The sequence below is a fragment of the Homo sapiens genome, chromosome 9 (assembly GCF_000001405.40).
Source record: "Homo sapiens chromosome 9, GRCh38.p14 Primary Assembly".
In the NCBI taxonomy this organism is placed as follows: domain Eukaryota; kingdom Metazoa; phylum Chordata; class Mammalia; order Primates; family Hominidae; genus Homo; species Homo sapiens.
Genome location: NC_000009.12, coordinates 36,164,354 through 36,174,869, shown reverse-complemented (window position 1 = coordinate 36,174,869; position 10,516 = coordinate 36,164,354). Strand labels below are relative to the sequence as shown.

Here is a 10,516-nt window from a genome sequence, read left to right as displayed (position 1 = left end):
CCTGGGTAGATCCAGAGAGGTGTCCTATTGCACTGCTGCTGAGCCGTCACACAGTTCTTCCCACTCTTCCCTCCCCTTTCCATAAGCAGAGGAGCCTCAACCCATAGCCACCACCACAAGCCCACAGGAAGTACTGCCAGGCTACTACTGATGTTCAGGTAAGACCCAAGTGCTTTTTTTTTATTTATTTACTTATTTTTTGAGACAGAGTCTGTCTCTTTTCCTCAGGCTGGAGTGATCTCAGCTCACTGCAACCCCTGCCTCCCGCGTTCAAGCGACTCTCTTGCCTAAGCCTCCGGAGTAGCTGGGATTACAGGCACATGCCACCACACACAGTTAATTTTTGTATTTTCAGTAGAGACAGGGTTTCATGATGTTGCCCAGGCTCGTCTTGAACTTCTGACCTCAAGTGATCCACCCACCTCGGACTCCCAAACTGCTGGTATTACAGGCGTGAGCCACTGCACCTGGGCCCAAGTGCTCTTCAGTCAGCTGTGGTGAATGCTGCCAGGCCTGGCCTGGACTCACCCTTCAGGGCAGTGGGCTTCCCTCTGGCCCAGTGTAGGTTCAGAAATGACATTTAAGAGCCAAGGCTTGGAATTGGGGAACCTAAGAGCCTGCTTGGTGCTCTACCCCACTGTGGCCAAGCTGGTACCTAAGGTGCAAAACAAAGTCCCCTTTACTTTTCCTTCTGCTTTTCTCAAGCAGTAGGAATCTCTCCCTGAGGTCACCACAGCTGGGAATGTGCTGGGTCTCACCTGGAGCCAGTACGTCTCTGAGTCTCACCCTAGGCTCACAGCTTACTACCTGGGTATCGCTGCTGGTTTTTCAGGGCCCAAGGGCTCTTTAATCAGCAGGTGATGAATCCTGCCTGGATTGGATTCTTCCTTTCAAGGCAGCAGGTTCCCTTCTGGCCCAGGGTGTGTCTAGAAATGTGTAGGGACTAGGGCCTGGAATAGAGGCTTTCTGACTCTGACTAGTGCCCTATCCTACTGTGGCTGAGCTGATATCCAAGATGCAAGACAGAGTCCCCTTTAGTTTTCCCTCCTGTCCCCAAGCAGAAGGAAGAGGTTTCTTTTGTAGCTGTGAGCTGTCCTGCCTGTGGTTGTAGAAGGGGTGATGCAAGCACTCCCTTAGCCAGCTGGCTGGTATCTCAGTAGGTTGCATGCCCCCCAAGTCCAATGTCTCTGAGCCCAGTTCAGCACCAGGACTTGCCTAGGAATTGTAATCCTTGTGGCCTTCAAGTTCACTCAGGGCCCCGTCTCTACTTAAATACAAAAATTAGCTGGGCGTGATGGCGCATGCCTGTAATCCCAGCTATTGGGGAGGCTGAGGCAGGAGAATGACTTGAACCCAGGAGGTGGAGGTTGCAGTGAGCTGATTGTGCCACTGCACTCCAGCCTGGGTGACAGAGCAAGACTCTGTCTCAAAAAAAAAAAAAAAAAAGAAATTAACCATCACAAAAATGATTCCATTTTAGACCATTTGAATGCATAGTGAGCTCCGCCAACAGTTCTGAGACTCTGAGAACAGAAAAAGTCCAAGCGGTGAAGGTCTGGGATTGGAAAGGAGCCTAGCCAGGACTTCCAGGACAGTAGAGGCCAAGGGAGAGAACAGTGTGAGGCGAGCCCCTGGCCTGGGTGGGGTGACAGGGATGGGGAGAGCACTTGACAGCCTATTAGGAAAGAGCCCTGGATTCTCGGGGAGACAGAGATTAACCTGTGTAGAATTCCTCCTCAGCACTCTCCCAGGGCAGATCAAGGGCCACACAATTATTTCTGAAGGGTACTGGGTGAGAGAGAGTAAGACAGAGTTCCCACCTTTTAAAGTAACAAATGCTGGGCACAGTGACTCACGCCTGTAATCCCAGCACTTTGGGAGACCGAGGTGGGAGGATTGCTTGAGCCCTGGAGTTCAAGACCAGCCTGGGAAACAAAGTGAGACCACATCACTACAAAAAATTTAAAAACAACAACAACAAAAAAAAAACTACCCAGGTGTGGTGGCAAGCACCTGTAGTCCCAGCTACTCAGTAGGCCGAGGCGGGAGGATCCCTTGAGCCCAGGAGTTTGAGGTTGCAGTGAGCTATGATTGCACCACTGCAGTCCAGCCTGGATGACAAAGTGAGATCCCATCTCAACAACAACATCAAAAGAGCAAAAATTGATCTTAGCTAGGAGAAAGGCAAGAATAAATCCTTATAAATTACTATATGATAGATGCTGGCGGTGATAGGGGATAGGGAGGTGGCCAGGGCAGCAGAGGGCAAGCACTGAAAAGATAGAAGGGACGCTAGTCATATGTGGTTGGGAAGCCCCAGAAAAGTGATTTTTGTTGGGACCCTAAAGGGCTACACACTAAGAATAAAGGTGGAAATAGTCTAAAGCCTAAATTTGAATCATATAATGCCTTGATTGAATTAAAGCGATCCAGGCTTTCTAGCACCCTTAGTCTAGCTGCTTGCCAAATGCAAAAGTAGATTCTGTTTTTTTTTTTTTTTGAGACGGAGTGTCACTCTTGTCGCCCAGACTGGAGTGCAGTGGCGTTATCTCGGCTCACTGCAAGCTCTGCCTCCCAAGTTCAAGAGATTTTCCTGCCTCAGCCTCCCGAGTAGCTGGGATTACAGGCATGTGCCACCACGCCTCGCTAATTTTGTATTTTTAGTAGAGACAGGGTTTCACCATGTTGGTCAGGCTGGCTGGTCTCAAACTCCTGACCTCGGGTGATCCACCTGCCTTGGCCTCCCAAAGTGCTGGGATTACAGGCGTGAGCAACCACCCCCGGCCTTATTATTTTTTTTTATACTAGAAACGGGATCTCACTTTATTGCTTAGGCTGGTCTCAAACTCCTGGGCTCAGGTGATCCTTCTGCCTCAGCCTTCCGAAGTGTTGGGATTACAGGCATGGGCCACTGTGCCCGACCAGGATATGTTTCTTTCTTTTCCCTTTACTGGCCTCTCTTTTATCCCCAGTCCCTCAGACTCATATTCCTGGAGAAAGTTCTCAATGTACTTGGCTTAGTAGAAACAATTGTAAGGAACCTCCAGCTTTCCCACAAATGAGACACAAACTACCGTAGCTGCATGGGCAAATACAGAAGCTAAGTAACCTTGCCTCCCCTGTTCCTTCTGCCTTCTTTTCTGAGTCTTACCCAGGTCACCTTCTCCTTCCTGGCCATGAGATTCCTCTCTCAGACCTGGGACGGGTCCTCCCCTGCTTTTGTGAAAGACCGGAGGGAAGCAGGTGCTGGAGGAGCTTGATGCTTCACAGCTCTGAGTGGATGTTTACCTGCCAATCTAGCAGATGCCTGAGAGGTGATCACAGGGGTACAGAATAGGGGACAGACATCGCCTTGGCCAGTGCCTGGGAGGGGCCTCAATTCCACCCACCAGGGGTTCCTTTCCAGGCCCTGTTGGATACCTCCAATGACATAGTGGCCCTGAGTTTCCACCCACTGGGAGCAGCCCTCCCCTAGGATCTCCACCTTCAGGGCCAAGCATGGACTGGAACACTAAGAAGGAAACAACAGGCCATCTTCCTCTCTTTCTCTCATTAAATCGTGAATAATAATGCATTTACTTATTCTCCCACTTAAAATGTTTAAATCCTTTGAAGAATCTTGCAAGGTAGCTTGGCTAGACAGCAGGCAGGACAGTCCAGTGCCTCTGGTGGAGGAGCCAGGGTCTTCCACTTGCCTGTCTTTTGGTCCAGCAAGAAGGCATTTGGATTGATGGTGTAGTCCTTTGTCTGGACATCGCTGGCAGTGGTGACACCCCCACATACAAACACCTTGCTGTCTCCAATGGAGCATATAGCATGGGACACATCCAAGGGGCAGCTGTTGGGCAAGACAGGCACTGAGGTGGTCGTCTTGCTTGCCTTCACCTTCTGCAGATTGATTTCCACACTCTGCCGGTGGCTGTGCACGCAGAGGATGTTGTCCTGTTGGAAAGAGAGCAGGGGCCGATGGTTGAACTCAATGGGGAAGGTGATACACTGGACCACGTCCCCAGTGCTGGTGTCAAAGCAGTCCACTACCCCGACCCGGGAGATATAACCTTTCACCAAGCACCGTCCAGTGACAATGTACAGATGCCTGTCTCCTTTAGTGATCACGGCGGTGCCATCCATGGGGATGCTCATCTTTCCTGCCAGGCACCAGACTTCCTTCCGCTCATCATAGCGATAGATGTTGGAGACATACCGCCTTGGGGCAATGCTCCCGCCCACTGAGTACACTGTCCCCCCACAGGTCACCATGGTGTGGAAGACAAGCCCGATGGGCAGGTCAGGCAACTTGGTCCAGGAGTTGTCATCCATGTCATACCGCCAGGCTGTCTTCAGCCCTGAAATCTGCTCAGTGGTGCCACCAGAGATGTAGATGTAGCGACCAGCAGAGGTGGCACTAAGTGCTGCTGCCCGATAGGGCATGTCTGAGAGCTTCATCCACAGGTTCTCCTGGATGATATAAGCAAACACTCCATCATTGAACTGGCCGTGGGCCTTCTGGCCACCGAGGATGACCACGGAATCAAGCAGGGCCCCTTTCCGCTGGTAGACCAGCAGGCTGCATGGCCGCTCCTGCTTGCGGTCCATCAGGACACTCTCAATCAGGGTTGTATGGGATGAGGTGTTCTCCATGCCCACCAGCTTGTTGCTGGCAAACACCAGCGTCTTATTGGAGACAGCATTGAGATTGATGTAATTGAAGAACTTCTTGAAATACTTCTCCCGATCCTCCTTCCGGAAGTACACCCAATTGATGAGTGCGCTGAGCGCCTGGTCTTCATTGAGCACGTGAAGGTTTTCATCACGGAGCAGGCGGCCAAAGATAACAGGTGGACAGCGCATGAAGTGCATGGAGCCCTCAGGACTGGCCCAGTAGTGGAAGTTGTCCCGAATGCCAGAGTAAGCTACGTCTGATACCTCTTTGAGCTCAAACAGCTCAGCCAAGAAGAGGTAGCGCAAGCAGTTGGCACGGCAGATGGACTTAATAAGGAAGTCGTTACAGTGAACTCGAAGGCGTGGTGTGTTGAAATACTGAGCCCCACGAAGCAGCTCCTCCACATTTTGCTCGGAGATCACCACCTTGCCGCTATAGAAGTAGTCCAGAAGCTGGTCCACTGTGACCGGGCTCAGGTAACTGGTGTCAATGGTGATGAAAAGCTCATCAGCGGTCTTCATGTCATTGCTGGAGATGAGGCTCCTCACCAGTGGGGAGACAGCAGCCAGCACATTGCGATGTGCAAAGAAGACGTGGTTGTCCACACTCAGGGCCATGTCCCAGTACTCTTTGCGTTTCCTCTGTCTGTTCAGGTTCTGCAGCACGAAGCTATTGTAGTTTTTCTCCGTGAATTCCAATTTCATGGTGCCTCTTGTCGGCTGAAACAGATCAGCAGCAGGTACTGGAGAGCAGACTTTCTCAGGCCTGTGGGATCAGATTGATGGTTGTTTGCAGAGCGGTTGACCAGGGAGAAGAGAGGGTGGAAGAGAGGATGATGTCATAGAGTGGATCAGGTCATCACAATGCAGGCCTCCCTGAGGCCTGTCTCAGAGGCACTGGGCCTTCCTCCCCTCTGATCTCTCCAACCTGCCAAGGCCACATACCCTAGCAGGACCTAAAGCCCTGGGCCCAGAGCTCAGGAGGAACCTCAGGGATGGGCGGCAACTTCCACCTGGGACTTTCAAACCGTAGTTAAAGGCTTCTGGAATATCAGAGCCAGTCTGGGTGGGGCAGTGGGGAGCAGTTTGTGTAGGAGAGATAAGGGGAGGTGGGGAAAGGGAAGAGATTATTAGACCTAGAAGAATCCTCCCATTTTGAGGGAAACTGAGGCCCAGAGAAGAGAAGGCACTTGCCCAAAATCACATAGCCAGTTGGAAGCCGAGCAGGGCCCAGAACCTGGGGAACCTCGCATTCTTCCTACCCTTCTGGAAGCTCCTGACTACCCAGCTTTCCCCAGTCTCTGACTCTCAACTCTCCAAGCACTCTTCCTGCCAAGGCTCCTGGGCATCAGAGAAAAGCTCTGTCCTTTGGCTTCTGACCTTGGTGGCCACAGACATCATTCTCCTTCAAAATGGAGAGGTGGAGGCCACTCCCTGGAGCAGGGATGAAGGAGTTAACCACAAACGGGGGCATGGGAGGGTCTTTAAAGACCGGATGATTTCAGCTCCTTGGCAAACTAGAATGTTCCCCCAACATTTCCAAGTGTCCAGTTGGAAAATGTTGGGGGCTTCAGTGGGTCAGCTTTCTCCATCAAAGGTGGACTTGGGCGAGTTGATCAGACTTTCTAAACCTCAGTTTCCTCCTCTGTGAGATGGAACTAATATTTGATAGTAGTACCCACTTCAAAGATTATTATGAGTTTATTTTTATTTTTATTTTTATTTTTTTGAGACAGAGTCTCGCTCTGTCACCCAGGTTGGAGTGCAGTGGTGCGATCTCAGCTTGAAACAGCCTTTGCAAAATTATGACTGAGACAGTGAAAGAGATCAACTTAACTGACTCCATCTTGCTTCTAACCTCCAAGCTGTCCTTGCTCATTCCTTGGCAAAGGCTGAACTAACTTTGGGAGAAACCTATATGTATAGTTTACGGTTTAAACAAAGACAGCCCTTTCCCAAAGCAGACCTCCTTCTTGCCTGGGGACTAGATTGCCTTTGTAGGACTAACATTAGCCACAAGATTAGAAATTATGGTTTAGGAGTCATGTAGCTGGAGGCTACAAGATTCTAACCCTCCCTAAACTGCTCCTAAGACCAGTGCTTGAGATTTCTCTTTTTTTTTTTTTTTAGACAGTTTCGCTCTTCTTGCCCAGGCCGGAGTGCAATGGTGCGTTCTCGGCTCACCACAACCTCCAACTCCCGGGTTCAAGCGTTTCTCCTGCCTCAGCCTCCTGAGTAGCTGGGATTACAGGCATGCACCACCACACCCGGCTAATTCTGTATTTTTAGTAGAGATGGGGTTTCTCTATGTTGGTCAGGCTGGTCTCAAACTCCCGACCTCAGGTGATCCACCTGCCTCAGCCTTCCAAAGTGCTGGGATTACAGGCGTGAGCCCCCGTGCCCGGCCGGTGCTTGAGATATTTTGCAGAACCTGCACTTGATGGATCAGCTGGCACCACTCAGATCAATAAACTGGCTCATCTGATCTTGTGGCCCCCAGACCCAAGAACTGACTCAGCCCAAGAAGACAGCTCCAACTCCCATGATTTCATCTCTGACCAATCAGCAGCACTCCTGGCTCACTGGCTTCCCCCTACCCACCAAGTTATCTTTAAAAACTCTGCTCCCCCAATGCTCCGGGAGACTGATTTGAGTAATAATAAAACTCCAGGCCGGGCGCGGTGCCTCATGCTTGTAATCCTAGCACTTTGGGATGCCAAGGTGGGCGGATCACCTGAGGTCATGGTTTCGAGACCAGCCTGGCCAACATGGCAAAACCCTGTCTCTACTAAAAATACAAAAATTAGTTGGGAGTGGTGGTGCATGCCTGTAATGCCTGTAATCCCAGCTACTGGGGAGACTGAGGCAGCAGAATCGCTCGAACCCGGGAGGCGGAGGTTGCAGCGTGCCCAGATCGCACCATTGCACTCCAGCCTGGGCGACAGAGTGAGACTCCGTCTCAAAAAAAAAAACCCCAAAAAACAAAAACAAAACCCTCCAGTCTCCCGCACGGCTGGCTCTGTGTGAATTACTCTTTCTCTGTTGCAATTCCCCTGTCTTTTATTACCCAACCCCCCAACCCCCCTCACCCCCCACCCCCAGTAGCTGGGATTACAGGCGCCTGTCAACATGCCCGGCAAAGTTTTGTATTTTTAGTAGAGACGAGGTTTCACCATGTTGGCCAAGCTGGTCTCGAACCCCTGACCTCAGGTGATCCGCCCGCCTCGGCCTCTCAAAGGGTTGGGATTATAGGCGTGAACCACCGTGCCCGGCCTATTATTAGAGTTTAAATGAGAAAAGGACTGGAGAGTAGTGGGCTTGTCATAAAGCTCAATCAATGCTAGCTGCCGTTTTCTTACTCATATTACACCAGTTCGCCCAGCGCCGGCGTTCGTGGCTGCTCCCTTCATAAAAACTTGTGGTCATCGTGGTTCTGGTTTCGCGGTAGCTGAGGAGGCTGTGGCTACCTCGCGTCTCTTCTGGGCCCGCCGCCCGAACCCAGTCCAGCCACGCGGTGGCGCTGGAGGGTCGTCCCCGCCCCCGAGCGCACCGCCTCTGCGCCGGGCACCACCCCAACCCCTCTCCAGGATGGAAAAGAGGCGCGGGGCGTCCCCTTTTTCGCTTTGCCTCCACGCGCCACCGTGCAAAGGCGGCAGCGCCGTGCCGTCCGCCGCGACCCTGGAATTCAAACGGCAGGATCGGGGGCTCTCAGCCTTGCAGGACTCCTTAGATTTCCCCAGACACACACCTGTCCCCACTTTACAGATGGGGACGCTGAGCCCCCAACGGAGGCGCGCCCTCCAGAGGCCAGAAGACTGTCTCCGACTCCCAGTAACAGCTGGGGGGGTTTCCTGACCCCTGCGAGTCCTTTGCGGGGAGAGAGGAGGGTGCCCGCAGACTCGGACAGATTCCTGGCTGGCGTGGGGCTCCCGGAGTCCTGTGGGGCGTCTGTGGAACTGCTGTTCGTGCAAGAAGGGGATAAGCGCCAGCTGGAGCGCCGCGGGCGGGAGGGAGGGGGAGGCAAAAGAGCCCAGTAGCCCCACCCGGACCAGCCTTTGGGAAGAGACCCCAGAGAAGGGCCTGGACTTGCATCTCGCCCAGGCATTCGCGAGAAGGTACAGAAAGGACTTACCTCTCTGATCTCCTCCAATCTGGGCCCAAGCCCCACTCTAGACCCTCGGGCCGTCCTCAGTGCCCCTCCCGGGAAATTTCAGTATCAGCCTCGGGAATCTGAGCCGTTCCAGCTCTTTCCCTCCCTGGCTTAGTCATATTCTCATTCTCATTGTCTCCCTCCCTCGTCCGTTCATTCCAGACTAGTCTTTTCCTTATTTTTAGATTTGGTAACTTGAAAATTATTTGAAAATACGCCCCTTCCCTTTTTTTTTTTTTTTTTTCTGAGATGGAGTCTCACTCTGTCCCCCAGGCTGGAGTGCAGTGGCCCGATCTCGGCTCACTGCAACCTCCGCCTCCCGGGTTCAAGTAATTTCTTGCCTCAGCCTCCCAAGTAGCTGGGATTACAGGCGCGCGCAGCCACGCCCGGCTAACTTTTGTATTTTTAGTAGAGACGGGGTTTCACCGTCTTGGCCAGGCTGGTCTTGAACTCCTGACCTCGTGATCCACCCACCTTGGCCTCCTAATGTATGGGATTACAGGCGTTAGCCACCGCACCTGGCCAAAAATACCCTTTTAAACTGAATTTGTCCACCTTCCCGCCCGAATGCGATAGAGAGACTCGGTCTCTTGGGATATGATACGTGCACAAAGTGAAGAACTTCTGTTTTCCCCATTGGAAGTAGACTTCAATTTCAGCCTCCTCCTCCGGAGACCAGTCTCCCTGGGAGAATAATTAAGCCCTTAATGCCTCTTCAGCCCTTACCTTCTGCAAAGCAGCAGCAGCAACTTGGGTGAATGATGAGGCCTCTTGGTGCTGATGCCAGACACCTTCTGGCTCCCATGGACATGCAGGCTGGCAGATCTCGCCTCCTGGGACATCTTCACCCGGGAGCAGGGGGTGGGTGGGTCAGGCCCTGCTGCTTCACACCTCCTTTGTCCTCTCCCCTGCCCTCCCACCTGCAAGCTTCAGCCTTGGGAGCATTTCAGTGGAGGAGGTGGCCATGCCTGTTTGTTTTTGTTTCAGCTCCCAGAGCACCAAGGCAGGAATGAGCTCTCTCATCAGACACTTCCAGCATTAAGTTGGGTCTGGAGGTGTCATGGGGACCTGAGAGAACTGATAGACCTAACTCCATGTGACAGACCTCGTACAGGTGGATAAATTGAAGCCCAGGGAGAGGAAGAGGCTTGCACCAGAGAGCTGTCTTCTTCCTCTGCCCTCTGGCTACAAAGGAGAGCCGCGGTTTGGTTTGTCCTTGTTCTTTTTGGATTGTGAGGCTTGCCATCTTCAAGAAATCCTTAAAAGTGAGATTAGTGCCCACCTGCTCAGCCAGCTTTGCTGTCTGGCATTTCTTTAGCCCAGGAAAGCTCCCCGGTCCAGCTTTTTCCTCAATCCAGCCAACTGTGGAAACAAACTCCAGCCCATAGAGGCTGGCTGCATGCTGGCTTCCACCACCTGGTTGTGTGTGTGTGTGTGTGTGTGTGTATGGGGGTGGGGGGGGTGACCCGAGGAGCCACCAAGAAGTTCATTGGCTGGCAGCTTGCCAGGTGGGGCCAGAAAAGGATCTCAGCAGGGTCTTTTCACCCACCGTCAGCTTCCTACCAGGCGCCACATTTTCTGTTCATGGTGTCTCCCGTTAGGAAGAGATGGTATGATTCTAATCTTTGGGGACTATCGGCTGGTATATCAGTTTGTTTGGAAGCCCTGAGGAAAATGAGGGGCATATTTTAAAGATATACAGAT

The 10,516-nt window shown here is 52.2% G+C and overlaps 1 protein-coding gene across 1 annotated transcript, besides 3 other annotated features; it reads right to left on the bottom strand.

The window, feature by feature from the left end:
* Positions 1-3,535: 3,535 nt before the first annotated feature.
* On the bottom strand, positions 3,536-5,482 carry CCIN (calicin). Its single transcript, NM_005893.3, has one exon. The coding sequence runs from the start codon at positions 5,365-5,367 to the stop codon at positions 3,601-3,603; it is 1,767 nt and encodes a 588-aa protein (NP_005884.2). The 5' UTR covers positions 5,368-5,482; the 3' UTR covers positions 3,536-3,600.
* Positions 7,876-8,376: an enhancer, noted in NCBI's record as "H3K4me1 hESC enhancer chr9:36166491-36166991 (GRCh37/hg19 assembly coordinates)". NCBI's record gives its function as "activates a minimal SCP1, AML or CMV promoter by ChIP-STARR-seq in primed H9 embryonic stem cells {active_cell/tissue: H9 hESC(primed)}" and the evidence as "EXISTENCE:reporter gene assay evidence [ECO:0000049][PMID:30033119]".
* Positions 8,067-8,276: a silencer, noted in NCBI's record as "silent region_19890". NCBI's record gives its function as "represses an Ori minimal core promoter by ATAC-STARR-seq in GM12878 lymphoblastoid cells {active_cell/tissue: GM12878}" and the evidence as "EXISTENCE:reporter gene assay evidence [ECO:0000049][PMID:35858748]".
* Positions 8,467-8,576: an enhancer, noted in NCBI's record as "active region_28347". NCBI's record gives its function as "activates an Ori minimal core promoter by ATAC-STARR-seq in GM12878 lymphoblastoid cells {active_cell/tissue: GM12878}" and the evidence as "EXISTENCE:reporter gene assay evidence [ECO:0000049][PMID:35858748]".

What these genes read in the sequence shown, in the direction of transcription:
- CCIN (NM_005893.3), bottom strand. Translation starts at nt 5,367, where the DNA reads ATGAAATTGGAATTCACGGAGAAAAACTACAATAGCTTCGTGCTGCAG.